Source organism: Homo sapiens, chromosome 7, assembly GCF_000001405.40.
Source record: "Homo sapiens chromosome 7, GRCh38.p14 Primary Assembly".
NCBI classification, from domain to species: Eukaryota; Metazoa; Chordata; class Mammalia; order Primates; family Hominidae; genus Homo; species Homo sapiens.
Window position 1 is genome coordinate 73,450,588 of NC_000007.14, and position 18,273 is coordinate 73,468,860.

Sequence of the window (18,273 nt, forward strand, 5' to 3'; positions counted from 1 at the left end):
TTGTTTTCTGTAAAAAATCAGAAGATTGAAGAGATCAATTGCTTTTATGTTATGCTCTAAACCGAGGAACAAAGGGCCTGCTCTGATTCCCTGGCACGACATTTCAAAGACTGGCATGTTACAGACCTGCAGGAGAGTAAAATCTATACCACACTTATATTCTGTGTACACAAAATTCTTTTGGGTAGAAATGAAGATCTTGGGAATAGAAATCCTACTCCCTAATATACCCACATAAGCAAATTTGATTTAAATATACCTTTCTTTCGACAAACTTTGCACCTAGCATTTTCTGCGGACATATCCCACTTGATACAGGCATCAAGCATCCCAAGCAGCACGTGCATCCTGGAGAAAGTCTGAGCTTCCCGGATTGCTGTCTTCCATTTCTCCAGTGCAGATGCAACCTAAACAGAGACCAAACCAGGCCAGCATTACTACACTGACCAAAGACACTGAGAGAGAACTAGGAACAGGGGACAGTATGAGAGAATTCTGAGGACACTTGCCTCCTAGAACTTCACTAATCTAAACCATTTATTCTTATAAAAGGCTCCAAAGGGGGAAAAAAACTTGCCAAAGGTCACACAGAGATGCAGTGGAGTGGGTGGATGACTGGGGACAAGCATCTTCTAGGGAAATCCACCTAACAACTCAGTATAATTTAAAAATAGGATCACCTGTATGCTGTAAATGCTATAATGCAACAATTTTAGACAGCTAATAAAACTCCGATTTAAAAGATAATCAATAACCTACCACAACACCACCAATCCAATACCACAGCTGGATTTCAATGCCCTGCCCGAAGCAAAGAAGTCCTTGTGAAGTAATGAATCTCCTAAAGGAAAACAGCCAGTTATCCTGGAAGGTCATGGGCTTTAAAATACAGGTGCCAAGGAACAAAGATAGTTGATTCTGTTCCGAAGTGGGGTACTAAACAGACTGGGGAGAGGGATGAGGGGAACAGGGCTGCTTTTTCTCTTTCCTATAGAAACAGAGAATCACAGGGAGCCTTGTGTGTATAAATTTATGAATAACAAGGATAAGTAATATAAACACACATACAAAAATCTACATTTAAGAAGCTGCTAAAGTTCAACTGGAAACTGACTGACTCTGTTGTAGATATTTCAACATCTGCTTTGAAAAACAGCAATCTCCTTCCTTACTTTTGCAGAGCTCCTCAGTAAACTGAGGTCCACAATCACAGCTGCCTTGCTGTCTTCTCCCCTGATAAAAAGAGAGCTGACAGACACTACTGCAGATTCTCTTCTTGAGAGGATAACCCAAATCTTTTCAATGGAATATCAATGTAAGAATTTCAGGTTCGGTTCTTTAAAAGTGCTTGAGAACTGGCAGGGAATGACTACCAATGGGCTTTGCTGTCCTCTAGTGGACATTCACATGTAGTGCACACAGTATGGAAGAAAACAGTCATGGGCAGTCCTGCTTTTTACTATTTCCTATGAATTATAAAATCTGAGCATCCAATAGCTCATCTGACCTCATTAAAACTTTTTTTAAATTTGAAGGTGTTTTGGGAATAGGCTTATTTAACCTCGTTTTTTTAAAAAACAGATTTTAAATAGTATCATACAATAATAGGTAGCCCTTGTAACTGGCTTCTTTCACTGAGCATGTTTCTAGGTTCATTCGCAAAGCATGTAACAGTACTTTCATCAGTTTTACTGCTGAACAATATCTCATTGAATAGACATTGCACATGCTGTTTATCCATTCATCAGCTGACAGTTACCTGGGCTGCTTCCGTATTTTGGTTATTCAGAATCACCCCATCTTACGATGGGTCAAACCTATGACTTCACAATGGTGCAAAAGTGATACACGTTCGGCCGGGCGTGGTGGCTCACACCTATAATCCCAGCACTTTGGGAGGCCGAGGCGGGCGGATCACAAAGTCAGGAGTTCGAGACCAGCCTGGCCAATATGGTGAAACCTGGTCTCTACTAAAAATACAAAAATTAGGCGGGTGTGGTGATGTGTGCCTGTAGTCCCAGCTACTCGGGAGACTGAGGCAGGAGAATTGCTTGAACCCGGGAGGCGGAGGCTGCAGTGAGCCGAGATTGCACCACTGCACTCCAGCCTGGGTGACAGAGCAAGACTTCATCTCGAGAAAAAAAAAAAAAAAAAAGTGATACACATTCAGCAGGCTCCTCGACTTATGATAGGGTTAAACCCAGATAAAACCATCATAAATTATAAATACTGTAAGTCAAACAATGGGTTTATTGGGACATAGCCCCATCCTAAATTCAGGAGCATCTGTAATCAGGATGTCCGGACAAACGCCACCAAAGTAAACAATCAAACAAAACCCAGGATTTTGCCAAACAATATATCAGTCTTTTCTATTTAATTCAATAAAACAAAATAAGCATTAAAAACCGAAATCAACCACTATTACAAAAAGAGATTTGAGAGACAATCCATTTTTATAAATAAGGAAGCTGAATCCTAGATTAGAGACTGATAAAAGCTCATGCAACAGCCTAGTGCCAGTTGAAAAAACTTTGGCCCTTGCTAAGTGGAAACCTTCAAAGCAAAGAGCAGTGGAAAATTTCAAAGCTGTGGCTGAGTTGACCTCTGGTGGGGAACCACGAGGCATAATGCCATTTTAATGCAGAACACTGCTGAACTACTTAGTAGGCAACCTAGTTGATTTTCCAAGAAACTCTTCCATGCTTTCCATTTATGTACTGTGTCTGGACCTGCAAACTTCTCACATTTTCCTCCCCAACTAAGCTAAGAACAAGTCTCATCTGACAAACTAAAATGAGTTTACTTCACTGTGGAACACAGTACTTCAGAAGTTAATGAGAACCCTACAGTGATGGGTGAGTTCTCAATGAGAAGGAAGCACTGTTGCAGGAAAAGAAATGGAAAGGACAGACGTGACTCTTGGACAGATCACATCAAGAAAGAGACTCTTCTGTATTGAACTTGAGTTAAAAACAAAACCTATGTAGTAGTAAGACTAAAACTTAAGCCTAATGAGAAGAGATTTAGCTAAGGAGACTAGTTAACTGTTTAATATCTTAGACATCTAAAAGGTTACCTAGGTGCTATACACAGTCATTTAAAAGGAACACAGGGCCAGATGCGGTGGCTCCTGCCTGTAATCCTAGCACTCTGGGAGGCCAAGGCAGGTGGATCACTTGAGCCCAGGAGTTCAAGACCAGCAACATGGTGAAACCTTGCCTCTACAGAAAAATACAGAAAAAGCCGGGTATGGTGGCACATGCCTGTGGTCCCAGTTACTTGGGAGGCTGAAGTAGAAGGACACCTGAGCCCAAGAGTTTGAGGCTGTAGTGAGCCAAGATCACACCACTGCACCCACCAGCCTGAGTGACAGAGTGAGACCCTGTTATTCATTCATTCATTCACAAATAAAATAAAATAAGCATAGGCTGGGCATGGTGGCTCACGCCTATAATCCCAGCACTTTTGGAGGCCAAGATGGGAGGAGCACTGGAGCCCAGGAGTTCAAGATCAGCCTGGGCAATGTAGGGAAACCCCTTCTCTATAAATAAATAAATAAATAAATAAATAAATAAAAATTTAAAAATTAGCCAGGAATGGTAGCAGGCACCTGTAGTTCCAGCTACTCGGGAAAGTGAGGTGGGAGATCACAAGCCTGGAGTCTGAGGCTGCAGAGAGCCTGGGCAACACAGTGAGACCCCATCCCAAAAAGTAAAGACATTTTTAAAAATAAAAGAAACACAGGAAGGTGAAAACTAAATCCCAGCAAGATAATGACACACCACATAGTAAGTGTCTCAGCTTAAGTCATGAATTAAATCTTTATCTAAACTGAATTTTCTTTCTCCACCCTGCTTACCTCTTATCCAAAATTATCTCCCCCATATCACATATCATCCTCGGCCTCAGGAAGAAATGTAGGGGGAACATGACAACTATGTATAAACATTTGATAAGCTTTGGAAAGGACAGCAGACTCACTCTATGTAAATGGGGAGGACAAACAAGAACCAGCTGTCAGTGACAAAGAGCCCAATTTCAGTTCAATCTGAACAGGCCTATGCTGCCCCTCCCATGACCTGATCCACTCCTACACATTCTTCAAAACCCATCCTCTCTTCCCTCTGGTAAGTTTTCTCTAGTGTGCCCTGGGTATCCCTCACAGTGAGCCTGAGTACTGCTGTTTCTCATCATTACTGGTCACACCACAGTAAGCGTCCCCTGCCGGTCTCTCACACTCAAATTGAGTTCCCCGAAGGCAAGAACTTAAGGCTTTTTTTTTTTGAGACGGAGTCTCGCTCTGTTGCCAGGCTGGAGTGCACTGGTGCGATCTCGGCTCACTGCAACCTCTACCTCCCGGGCTCAAGTGATTCTCATGCCTCAGCCTCCTGAGTAGCTGGGACTACAGGCTCGCGCCACCACACCACCACACTCGGGGTGTGTGTGTGTGTGTGTGCATTTTTTCTTTTTTTTTTTAGAAGAGACCGGTTTTCACCATGTTGGCCAGGCTGGTCTCGAACTCCTGACCTCAAGATCCGCTAGCCTCAGCCTCCCAAAGTGCTGGGATTACAGGCGTGAGCCACCGCACCTGGTCCTGAACTTAAGGCTTTTTTACTCATCTCTATAAAACCTCCAAACTTACTAGCGACTGGCACAAGCAGGGCTTTACCAGATCTTTGTGAAAAAAAAGGAAAGAAGGCAGGGAGAGGCAAATCTAAAATTAGGGACAATATTCTGCACTAAATAATGGTTAGGACCTCTCCCATAATGTAATGTTCTCAAATTCTTTTCTTCACAAGTAATCTTAAGCAGAAATCTAATACGCAAAACAGACAAAAATGGAGCTGCTAGTTATTCTATTAAGTTTCATATTTATTAATAAGTAATACAAAATTAAAAGACCAAATGTGGCTGGGCGAGGTGGCTCATGCCTGTAATCTCAGCACTTTGGGAGGCCAGGGTGGGTGGATCACTTCAGCCCAGGAGTTCAAGACCAGCCGGCCAACACAGCAAGGCCCCGTCTCTATAAAAAATTTAAAAATTAGCTGGGCATGGTGACACTCGCCTATAATCCCAGGTACTCAGGGCAGGCTAAGGTGGGAGGATTGCCTGAGCCCAGGAGTTTGAGGCTGCAGCGAGCCATGACTGCACCACTGCACTCCAGCATGGACAGTAGAGACCCGTTTCTAAAGAAACGCAATAAAATCAGAAAAGAGCAAATATGACATCAGGTAGATCTGTGTGGACTAACGGGACGGAGGGGACAGATGTTTAGAATATACTGGTAAGTGAGAAACTGAAGACTGTTGTGCACAGTATAAGTTTCCACTTTTAATAAATCCAACAAATCTTTGTATATACATAAAAAGGACACCAAACTATTAAAAAAGTGACATCCTTGGGCAGTGAAACTAGGGTGGGAGTTATATATTTTACTTACCTCTCATTTTATTTACTTACAATAATAAAGCATGCTACATTTAAAAATAAAAAGTGAGGAAACTGGGTATCTAATATGAAAAAAATGAAGCTGAAGCCTTACCTTCTACCACTGACAAAAATTAACTCAAATGATCAAAGACCTAAATGTAAAAGTTAAACTATAAAATATCTAGAAAAATACAAGAGAAAGAAACGTTCATGACACTGAATCTGGCAATGATTTCTTGGACATGACACCAAAAGTGGAGGCAACAATGGAAAAAAATAGGTTAAGTTAGACTCCATGCAAATGAAATGCTTGTATGCAAAGGACACTATCAACAGAATGAAAAGGCTACCCATGGAACTGGAGAATATATTTGCAAATCATGCATCTGAAAAAGGGTTATTATCAAGGACATATAAAGAACTCCTACAACTCAACAACAAAAAATCCAATTGAAAAATGGGCAAAGGACTTGAATATATATTTCTCCAAATAAGGTAGACAAATGGACAATAAGCACATGAAAAGATGCTCAACATCATAAATCATTAGAGAAAAACAAATCAAAACCACAATGAGATACAACTTCATATCCATTAGGATGGATACTATTAAAGAAACAGGACATTAGTATTGGCAAAGGCTGGGCGTGGTGGCTGAGGCCTATAATGCCAGCACTCTGGGAGGCCATGGCCGGCGGACCACCTGAGGTCAGGAGTTTGAGACCAGTCTGGCCAACATGGTGAAACCACGTCTCTACTAAAACTACAAAAAAAAATTAGCCAGGAGTGGTGGTGCACGCCTATAGTCTCAGCTACTTGGGAAGCTGAGGCAGGAGAATCGCTTGAACCCAGGGGAGTTTGCAGTGAGCCAAGATCACACCACTGTACTCCGGCCTCGGCGACAGAGACTCTGTCTCAAAAAAAAAAAAAAAAAAAAAAAAAAAAAAAAAAAAAAAAGTATTGGCGAGAATGTGGAAAAACCAGAACCCTCATGAGTTGCTGGAGAGAATGTAAAATTGTACAGTCACTATAGGAAACCATAGAGTGGTTCCTCAAAAAGTTAAACACTGAATTACCATATGATGCAGCAATCCCACTACTGGGTATACACTGAAAAAAAATTAGAAGCAGGGACTCAAATATTTGGCTTTTTTGGTTGTTTTTCTTGTTTTTTTGAGATGGAGTTTTGCTCTGTTGCCCAGGGTAGAGTGCAGTGGCTCCATCTCTGCTCACTGTAGCATCAGCCTCCTGAGTTCAAGCAATTCTCCTGCCTCAGCCTCCCTAGTAGCTGAGAATACAGGTGTGCGCCACCACGCCTGGCTAATTTTTGTATTTTTAGTAGAGATGAGGTGTCACCATGTTGGCCAGGCTGGTCTCAAACTCCTGACCTCAGGTGATCTGCCCACCTCAGCCTCCCAAAGTGCTGAAATTACAGGCGTGAGCCACCACGCCCGGCCGGGACTCATTTGTACATTCATGTTCACAGCAACATTATTCCCAATAGCCAAAAGACGGAAGCAACCCAAGTGAGTGGATCAACAAAATGTGGTACATAGAGACATGATATAATAAATATATTTGGTCCTTCTCCGCAGACTAAAACCTTAATAGGAGTGTCTTTTGTTATTCAGAGGAGCCCCTTTGGATCACACCTAAATTTATGCTAATGAGGCTTTCGGTGAGACCTCTAGTTATGGGGCTGGCCACCAGAAAGACCAGATGATTAGAAGACTGGAATGTTCAGCCCTACCCACAAGCTCCTGAAAGGCAAGAGGAGGGGAGACTTCGGAGATTAAGCTCTACGAAGATACTGGAACAAGATCTGATCAGCTTCAGGTAACACACTCAGAAGCTGGAAGGAAGGAGTGTTCAGAGAACACGTGAAAGCCCCACGTACCCCTGCTCCGCCACCTTCCTTGTTCCACACGTCTCATCCATCTGGCTGTTCCTGAGTAGTATCCTTCAAAATGACCCGGTTAACCTAAGTAAAATGCTTTCCCGGGTTCTGTCAGGCATTCTAGCAAATTATCATACTTAAGGAGAGGGTCATGAGAATCCTCAATGTATAGATGGTACAGGTGGCAACGTGGGGCTTGCGACTGGCATCTGAAGTGAGAATAGTCTCGTGGGACAGAGCACTTTAACTTGCAGGATCTGACACAAACTCCAAGTAGAAAGAGTCAGAATTAAACTGAATTTTAAGAGTAGTTGGTATCAGCAGAGAACTAGAGAGTTGCTTAGTGTGGTAAAAACCCATGTATTTGGTGTCAGAAGTGTATGAAAAAGTTTTGAAGGCTGATGGTGGTGATGGTTGCAAAACAACGTGAATATACTTAATGCCACAGAATCGAACACATAAAAATGGTAAATTTGGGCTGGACGTGGTGGTTCACACCTGTAATCCTAGTACTTTGGGAGGCTGAGGTGGGCAGATGACCTGAAGTCAGGAGTTCGAGACCAACCTAGCCAACATGGTGAAACCCCGTCTCTACAAAAAATACAAAAATCAGCCAGGCATGGTGGCATGCACCTGCAATTCCAGCTACTTGGGAGGCTGAGGCAGGGGAATTGCTTGAACCTGGGAGGTAGAGGTTGCAGTGAGCTGAGATTATGCCACTACACTCCAGCCTAGGCAAGAGTGGGACTCTTTCTCCAAAAAAAAAAAAAAAAGTAAATTTGTATGTTATGCATATTTTTACCAAAATTTAAAAAATATCTAGAGCAAGCATGGCTGGGCGCAGTGGCTCACGCTTACAATCAAACTTTGAGAGGCCAAGGTGGGAGGATAGCTTGAGGCCAGAAGTTCAAGGTTACAGTGAGTTATAAGCAAATCACCGCATACCAGCTTACACAAGAGCAAAACCCTGTATCTAAAAATTAAATAAACAAATTGTTAATGTGTTTAAAAGTCACCACCACCTTTTTAAAAAAGAAAGTAAACTGGTAGACCAGGAGTGGTGGCTCACGCCTGTAATCCCAGCACATTGGGAGGCCGAAGCGGGTAGATCACAAGGTCAAGAGATCGAGACCACTCTGGCCAACATGGTGAAACCCCGTCTCTACTAAAAAATACAAAAATTAGCTGGGCGTGGTGGCACGCACCTGTAGTCCCAGCTACTCGGGAGGCTGAGGCAGGAGAATCGCTTGAACCTGGGAGGCGGAGGTTGTAGTGAGCTGAGATTGCACCACTGCACTCCAGCCTGGTGACAGAGCGAGACTCCATCTCAAAAAAAAAAAAACAAAAAAAAGAAAGTAAACTCTGGTAAAGGTGGGAAGGCCACATCCACTGTGACCATCACCCAATGACCAAGAAGCAGGGCTGCACTCCACAGGCCAGTGTGAAAACCACAGAAGGGGTAGAAAGTGATTAAAAAAAAAAAAAACACACACACACACAAAAACACTCACTCAGGGCACAGTGCCTATAGCAGCTAAAATGCATAGGGTTAGATTATTTTAAAACCAAATCAACTCATCTACGGAATCATAAACTACAACTTATAACAACAAAATACCTTTGCTTCCTCTACCATTTTCTTCTCTTCATCCACTTCCTCAGTTTTTGCTGAATCTTCACTTTGGAGTTTTCTTCTCTTTTGCTTGGGAGCCATGAAGCCTTGGAGAAATTTCTTTATGACACTGGCCTGAAGGGCAATCACACACTCACCAAAATCCTTCAATTTCTCTAATGAAATGACCTATAGGAAAGGATTTTAAAACCAGACTGAGAAAAGGCCCAGAGGAAGACGAAAGGAATCCAACCTCAAATTCAAATAAATCTAGACTCAAATGCCACATAACATTCATTAAACAAAATCGAGAGCCACATACCATTAATTTAACTGTGCTCCTCAGTTCACTGCATGGCTCATGCATTTAAAAGTACTTGACTGGCCGGGTGCAGTGGCTCACGCCTGTAATCCCAGCATTTTGGGGGGCCAAGGCGGGCGAATCACCTGAGGTCAGGAGTTCAAGACCACTTTGGCCAACATGGCAAAACCCCATCTCTACTAAAAATACAAAAATTAGCCAGGCGTGGTGGCACGTGCCTGTAATCCCAGCTACTCGGGAAGCAGGAGAATCACTTGAACCCGGGAGGAGGAGGTTGCAGTGAGCCAAGATCGTGCTACTGTACTCCAGTCTGGGTGACACAGCGAGACTCCGTCTCAGGGAAAAAAAAAAAAAAAAAAAAAAAAAAGTACTTGACTACTTCCCTTTTCCCAGCTAAGGGATCCACTAAATGGCAGAAGCCCCCCCACATAAAGGAGTTACATAGTTGATTCATTCAATAATGACTGAGTGCCTACTATGTGTAAAATACAATTTTAACGCAAAGACACACTAAGAAAGTAAAATAAAAATTCACTGACTTTCCATCTTAATGTTTTTTTAATTTTTTTCTTATTTCTAACTTGCTTCCAGCATGTAACTAACTATATGTAAGGTAGTATGTTTTACAAACTTGATCTCCTTTTTTTTATTTTTAAAGAGATAGGTCTCACTGGGTCACCCAGGCAGAAGTGCAGCAATCACAACTCACTGCAGCCTTGAACTCCCAGACTCAAGTGATCCTCCTGCCTCAGCCTCCCCATTAGCTGGGACCACAGGTACATGGCATCACGCCTGGCTAATTTTTTAAATTCTTTTTAGAGACAGGGTCTCACTATGTTGCGCAGGCTGGTCTCAAACTCCTGGCCTGAAGCGATCCTCCTGCTTCACTGATCTCTTTTTAAGCTTCACATCTACCTGATAGATGAGGAAACAGAAGTTAAATCACTTCATCAAAATCATGCACCCAGCCAGGTGTGGTGGCACATGCCAGTAGTCCCAGCTACTTGGGAGACTGAGGCAGAAGGAGTTTGAGGCTGCTGTCAGCTATGATCTGTGAATAGCCACTGCACTTCAGACTGGGCAATATAACAAGACCTATCTCTCTCTTTTTTTTTTTGGTTTTTTGTTGTTGTTGTTTTTTGAGACGGAGTTTTGCTCTTGTCGTCCAGGCTGGAGTGCAATGGCGCGATCTCAGCTCACTGCAACCTCCGCCTCCCGGGTTTAAGCGATTCTTCTGCCTCAGCCTCCCGAGTAGCTGGGATTACAGGCATGTGCCACCATACCCAGCTAATTTTTGTATTTTTAGTAGAGACGGGGTTTCTCTATGCTGGTCAGACTGGTCTCGAACTCCCAACCTCAAGTGATCTGCCCACCTTGGCCTCCTAAAGTGCTGGGATTACAGGCGTAAGCCACCGCGCCCGCATGAACAAGACCTATCTCTTAAAAGATCAATTAATTTAAAAATAAAAAGAAAAGAAATAAAAAATGTCCTTAAATACTATCTTGTCAATCACACAAGACATGCCAATTAGAAGATAACGTTTTAATAGTCACAAAGAAAACTAAGAAAAATGACAACCTAACGTCAGCAAGATATAGGCCTGAATTTGGCACAAAGTAGGCAATTAATGAACATTTGCTACACAAAAAAGTAAACATGTAACATCTGAAACCTGCAAGATCCTTTGGGTTCAATAATTCTTTTTAAAAAAATCATTAAGAACCATAAAGATGTTTAAATCCTTTTCCCCAGGAAATGTACCAAGAATTCATCACAAGATTAATTAAAAAGAAAAAATGTGCATATGTAAGATACACATATTATTTGCTTATTCCAATAGCAAAGAAAAACAAGCTAAAATAGTTGAAAAGTACTTATAAATTAGGAAAAATGGCATGGGGGAATGCAAATGAAACTGTTCATAAAAATCACAAAACTATAAGAGCACATATGTTGGCTGGGTGAGGTGGCTCATGCCTATAATCCTAGCATTTTGAGAGGCTGAGGTAGGAGGATCTCATGAAGCCTGGAGTTTGAGATCAGCCAGGGCAACATAGTGAGATTTTGTCTCTACAAAATTTTCCATGTGTTTGTGTGTCAAACAGGGTCTTGCTATGTTGCCCAGGCTGGTCTCGACCTGCTGGGCTCAAGCAATCCTCCTGCCTTAGCCTCCCAAAGTGCTGGGATTATAGGCGTGAGCCAACATGCCCCGTCTCTACAAAAAAATTCTAAAAATCAGCCAGGCATGGTTGCTTGTACCTGCAGTCCCAGCTACCTGGAAACCTGAGATGGGAGAATCACTTAAGCCCAGGAATTTGAGGCTGCAGTGAGCAATGACTGTGCCACTGTACTTCAGCCTGGGTAACAGAGGGGACTTCATTTCTTTAAAAAGAAAAAAAAGACAAAACATCATAGTGCATGAGGAATTTGAAAAGACCCACAAATATTAATATGTCTAGAATTATGTGGACTTATTGATTTAAAATCAGTAAAAAACGGTTTATAATAGTAATTGATGGATACTATTCACCAATCTTTGATACCTAAACCTACCTGTTACGGGGTATGGGATCTTTTGAAAAGTTTCACCTATACCACTTAAGGGTCCCTCTGAGCAATAAAGGACAGGACTGTAATGACAGCACACTGGACAACATGAGTGATGCCCAACATAAATAGAAATCTGAGCTGACTGAGTGTGAAGAATGGGCAAGTGCAGGATATGCAAGCATGTTTCACACCTGAAAGCACAGGCATCGCAAGGTAAAGATGTTAAATGATGCTATACGACTGGAGCCTCTACAACCAGTTTTCATTCACCTTAGTAGTGAAGCTCTTTTCATACCAAGGTTGTAAGCCAATTACTAAGTTTTTCTGGATAGCAGCAAAAGATAACAAGGAAAAAATACATATACATAAGGTATTTTTGGTTCCATACATGTCTTCCAAGACAAATCCAAACATCTGATTTCCAGGAGGGTCATGTTGGGAAGTCAAGAACAGCACCAGGGAAGAACTTCAGATTGAGTTGCCATGAGTAATCTAAGGGGGATTTTCTTATATTCCTACCCGGGCTTCAAATTCTGATGTTTCTTCCACATATCCAAGTCCTCCTTTTTGTAACCTTGTTGCAACTTCAATGAGATCACTACGAAGGAAGTTTAAAAGCTCCTGGTTGCCATCACAAGATTTTAGACCCAAATTTGGCTTCCGTGCTAGATGAATAGAGTGAATAATGTCCTGGTACCTAGAAGATTTGGGACAAGAGAATGGGGAAAGAAACAAACTTTTGAAGATGTTCTTCAAATTTCAATTACTTAACATGTTTTATTTCTAGAAAACTTACTTAGATCTCTTTCACCTCTCCCTGGTGTTTTTTCTTTTTTCTTTTTTTTTTTTTTTTTTCCCCCGAGACAGGGTCTTGCTCTGTCACACAGGCTGGAGTGCAAAGGTGCCATCACAGCTCACTGCACCTTCAAACTTCTGGACTCATGCAATCCTCCAACCTGAGCCTACAGCTGGGACTACAGGAATACCCCTCCACACCTGGCTATATTTTTAATTTTTTGTAGGGATGGGGTCTTGCTATGTTGCCCAGGCTGGTCTCAAACTCCTGATTTCAATTCAAGCGATCCTCTCCCCTAGGCCTCCCAAACTGCTAGGATTACAGGTGTGCACCACCACACCCAGCCACTTCTAAGCTTTTAATGGAAGGATTCGATCTTCATATTTAGTGAACAAAACAGGTCTTTTCAATTCAACACACATAGCTATCAAATGCTCTGCCCAAAGAGAAGGAACATCATAGAACTATATTTCTTTGTGGCTCTGTATACCGACATTTTCCTTTGTCTTTTTTTTTTTGTTGTTTTTGAGATGGAATGTCGCTCTGTTGCCCAGACTGGAGTGCAGTGGTGCGATCTTGGCTCACTGCAACCTCCACCTCCCGGGTTCAAGCAATTCTCCTGCCTCAGCCTACCTAGTAGCTGGGACTACAGGCACCCGCCACCATGCCTGGCTAATTTTTGTACTTTTAGTAGAGACAGGATTTTGCCATGTTGGCCAGGCTGGTCTCGAACTCCTGACCTTGTGATCCGCCTGCCTCTGCCTCCCAAAATGCTGGGATTACAGGCGTGAGCCACCGCGGCCGGCCCTCCTCTGTCTTTCTTAATTTGCCTAGACACATCTGTATTCAGACAACACAATTCTGAATACAGTTTTACTTAATTTACACATTAAGCAGTGGGCTAACATCAATATAATGTACCTATTGTCCTTCGCAAAAGTCTGGCAATGGTGTAGAGTATGTACTGAATCATATTTTCCTTCTCTCTTCCATCAAACCTAAATTCAACCGTGAAATTGAGCACAGAGTCAGCAATGAGAGGAGGCATTAAGCCAAAATCTTGTCCTGGCTTTGATAGAAATAATGTCTACAACAAATATGGCAGTCGCAAATTTGATGCTACTTTGTAGACAGAACAGGGTTTTTTGATTCTTTTTAATTCATATGACATGAAATTCACCAACTTGAAGCATGTACTTCAGTTTTTTGTTGTAGAACCACACATGTAATTCCAAAACATTTTCATCACCCCAAGCAGGAATCTCTTACCTGTTAGCAATCATCACTCCTATTCTCCCCTTCCCCTATCCTCTGGCAACCACTAATCCACTTTCTGTTTGAAATAGATTTGCCTATTCTAAGATGTTTCATTTGAATGGAATCATACACCACATGGCCTTTGATGTCTGACTTCTTTTGCTTAGCATGTTTTCTAGGTTCATTCATGTTGTAGCACAGAACAGTACTTCATTTCTTTTTGTGGCTAAATAATATTCCACTATTTGAATATACTAAATTTTGGGGGTTTTTTGTTTCATTTTGTATGAGACAGCATCTCGCTCTCTCACCCAGGCCAGAGTGCAGGGGCATGATCTTGGCTCAATGCAACCTCCGCCTCCTGGGCTCAAGTGATCAACTCAGCTCAGCCTCCCAAGTAGCTAAGACTACATACACAAACCACCACACCCAAGATAATTTTTGTTTTGTTTTTTTTTTTCAGAAACGGAGTTTCCCTATGTTGCCCAGGCTGGTCTCAAAACTCCTGGATGCAAGACACTGGCCTGCCTTTACCTCTCAAAGTGCCGGGATTACAGGTGTGAGCCACCGCACAAGGCCTGGATATATACTAACTTTTATTTATCCGTTCCATCAGTTGATAGTCATTGCCGTTGTTTCCACCTTTTGGCTCTTCTGAATATTGATAGAATACTTCTGGACACCCACCCATCTGGGCCTCCATCTGCAAAGCTGTCTGACAACCATGAGGCTCACAGCTTGGTGCTGGCAACTGTTCTTTAGTGCATAATAATCCTGCTACTCTATATATAGATGGCCAAAGGTATATTTTTCCAATAAGCATAATATGCCAAGAAAATACCAGGCAATATGAACACAAAACGGTTACACATTTAAAATATTTTACTTTAGTAACTTAAATGGATAAGAAAAAAAACCCTCAGATATTTATATCCAATGCTAAAGAGAAGTAAGATGTGAGGAGTAAGATGAAAACCTCTTACCTCTTCTCTAGTCTCTCTTTAAGTTGACTTTCTCTTATTCCCTGAGGGTGAAGACAGTTTAGCAACTCATCCAGCTCCTTTTGACTATCACATAAAAACCTGTAGGGGCAAAAGAGACCTGATAACTCTGAAAAAAAAAAAAAAATTCAAAATCAAACACTAAGCAAGGGATCTAGAGTTGGTGGTGGGACTTGGGAGAACAGAATTCCAAATGTGTTCACAATCTACTATCTAGAAGTAGAATAAGTAATTTACTATTTTCATGATGCCTAATGTTAATTCTGTACTAGGACACCAGAGCCAATATGGTTCCTATTAAAATATTATATGAAATTTTATAAAGTTAATTGGCATACTTGTCCCTTTCCCTCCAGAGAGTAAACCTATACCCAAAATTCAAAAATGAAAGGTCATTAAATCACAGGTGATCACAGTTAAAGCCGTAGAATGGATCCTCTAAAACCTAGCTCGCTGCCTAAAAGCAGAAATGCGCATAAAGGAAACGAATAGCTATGCATACAATTTGTTAATTAATAAAATTTAAGGAAAATCTTAAATACTTCTATTCCCAACCAAATTTAAGCTACATTTCTACTGCTATATAAGATCTATCACATAATATACAAAGTTATATTACAGGGGGGAAAAAATCAAAATTCCAACCCTTAAAAAAACAAGTATCTTCTTAACAAAAAATCAGGTCTGCTAATGCAAGAAGTTTTGATATCCAAAATATCAGTCACACAAAGTATCCTGCGCAAATAATTATTAACTCACTGGCATCACTATACTAAATACTTTCTTCCTTAACAATTAAAAGGAAAAAGAAAGAGCAACCAGATGAATGCTCACATTACCATAGGTTCTGTCCTTGTTTGGGTGTGGTTGTCTCTACAGCAACTTCTGTTGCTGTTCCATGTTGTGTGTTCATGCTTGCATTTTTACCTAAGTTTGCTTTCTTACCTAAGAAAAATTGAGACATTAGGTTGACTTTAGTAAATACCCAATTGCTAGTTTCAAATCTAAGCAGTACACAGTGCCAAACTCAACAATTTGTAACAACACAGATACTTCCTGTGAAATATATCAAATATATCTTCATGTATAAAAGATGCTAATTTCTCTTAAATATCTTAAACACAGCATGTTATCTCAGATATTTGCTCTCTGAAGTGGAATCGTTACACAGTTCCAAAGTTTAGGGGTACTGCAACTTAGAATGAAGAATGACTAAATATCTTTATATCAAAGCAAAATAAAGAATTTACTCCTTTTACATGATGTTAAGAGCAAAGGCATCTGTAGTGAAGCAGAGGTAATGAGAACATATAAATACTATAGACTTATCCTTGGAGGCTTCAAGTGTCAAATAATACAACTAACTTTTTTGTAAATCAGTTCCTATATACTGATACGTGACTTTAACATAGATATATCTTGAGCCAATTTATCAAAGCCTATCTTAGATCATCACAATATTTGGTTTTTTGTTTTGTTTCGTTTTGTTTTTTGAGATAGAGTCTCGCTCTGTCGCCCAGGCTGGAGTGCAGTGGTACAATCTCAGCTCACTGAAACCTCTGCCTCCCAGGTTCATGCAATTCTCCCTGCCTCAGACTCCCGAGTGGCTGGGATTACAGGCACACACCAACACACCTGGCTAATTTTTCTATTTTTAGTAGAGATGGGGTTTCACCATGTTGGCCAGGCTGGTCTCCAACTCCTGACCTCAGGTGATCCGCCCGCCTTGGCCTCCCAAGTGCTGGGATTACAGGTGTGAGCTACCACGCCCGGCCAGTCACCACAATATTTGAAGCCTTACCTCATACTATGATTGTTTATCTTCTCTTTCCCATTCTCCCCACTTTAACCTGAAACATCTCTGCAATACTAACACATAACTTTGTTTAGTCTTTTCAATTGGGTAATTTATTTATTTTTTTTAATTTTTTGAGACAGAATGTTGCTCTGTCACCCAGGCTGCAGTGCAGTGGCGCAATCTTGGCTCACTGCAACCCCTGCCTCCTGGGCTTAAACAATTCTCTTGCCTCAGCCTGCCAAGTAGCTGGGATTACAGGTGCCCGCCACCACACCCGGCTAATTTTTGTGTTTTTTGTAGAGACGGGGTTTCGCCATGTTGGCCAGGCTGGTCTTTTAACTCTTGAGCTCAAGTGATCCGCCTGCCTCAGCCTCCCAAAGTGCTGGGATTATAGGCATCAGCCACTGCATCCAGCCTCAGTTGGGTAATTTTAAATAAAAACTGCCATTCTAGAACTGGAAAACACGAAACAACATCCACCAGGATGCTCTAGAAGTGAAGGGTCTGGCTCCCCAATCTTGTCTCGGGGACACATTATAAAGTAACACTCCTTCATCCCACTGGAATCTCTTCCAAATCTAAACATCCAGGCTCCACAGTTACTGCTCTCAAACCTAACTGCCCTCACCTGAGTATTTATGAAGTCTAACGAAACCAGATTCTTCTATAAAGTGACATAATCTATGCTCGATATAATTCAACATGCAAACACCTTAAATCTGAAGTTTTATTTGAAGGAATGTTTATTTTTGTAAATCAGTATTATTCTTATTTAACAATTTTGTGAGTTTCAAGCTTGAGTTAGGAATTTCTCTAAAATGAATTACTTTTTAAAAAATAAAGATTTATCGAAGAAGCACAATAACCTAGTACTCAGGAAGCAACTTCTTTTATTTCTTTATCTCCCACATGACACCAACACATAAGCAATTTTCATTAGGTTACAGACAGCAGAGCTGAAAGAAGCTTATGGATCATTTAACCTAGTGGTTCTCGAAAGGGAGCACTGCTGCCTGCCACATGTATCTGGCAGGATTTAGAGACATACTTGGTTTTCACTGCTACCACCTAGTGGGTAGAGGGGAGCTCCCGAATAACCTATAATGCACAGGACAGCTCCCAGTACAAAAAACTATCTTCCTCATCAGTGTCATGGTGGGAGGAAAAAAAAAAAGATTCATCTAGCCCAAAATGTCAGTAACACTGAGGTTGAGAAAACCTGACCTAACCTAACCATCTTATTTTTTTAATTAAAATTTGTTTTATTTCTTTCTTGAAATATACTCAATACATACACTTTAAGAAAGAATATGGATATATATTCAGAAAACTATTCAGTGTGTGTTTCTTTTACAAACTGAACACATATACCCGGCACCCAGATCAAGAGAAAGAATATTACCAGTGTCCCTACATGATCCCCTCTCAGTCACTCATTTTTCGTTAGGTATTTGCCATGTTTCTCCTCACAAGAATTTTAAGAACCTTATCTGTCTTGTTTGCTGCTATACCCCTAGCGTATGACAAACTGCTTCACAAATAGAGATTCAGCATAAACACTGAATAAATTAATTTTAAAAGTAGAAGAAGAGGGTCAGGTGCAGTG

The 18,273-nt window shown here is 41.3% G+C and overlaps 1 protein-coding gene across 3 annotated transcripts in view; it reads right to left on the reverse strand.

Moving 5' to 3' along the window:
- BAZ1B (bromodomain adjacent to zinc finger domain 1B) overlaps positions 1-18,273 on the reverse strand; it is an 81,888-nt gene that overhangs the window by 10,182 nt on the left and 53,433 nt on the right. For 2 of the 3 annotated variants that reach the window (NM_032408.4, NM_001370402.1), the window contains exons 10-14: positions 15,709-15,814; positions 14,852-14,950; positions 12,335-12,512; positions 8,949-9,131; positions 260-407 (exon numbers count right to left, since the gene is read on the reverse strand). In NM_032408.4, the coding sequence (NP_115784.1) occupies positions 260-407; positions 8,949-9,131; positions 12,335-12,512; positions 14,852-14,950; positions 15,709-15,814 (714 nt within the window). Of the gene's footprint in view, positions 1-259; positions 408-8,948; positions 9,132-12,334; positions 12,513-13,532; positions 13,610-14,851; positions 14,951-15,708; positions 15,815-18,273 lie in introns of those variants that run through there. The other variant, XM_047421016.1, reaches the window with a different exon arrangement.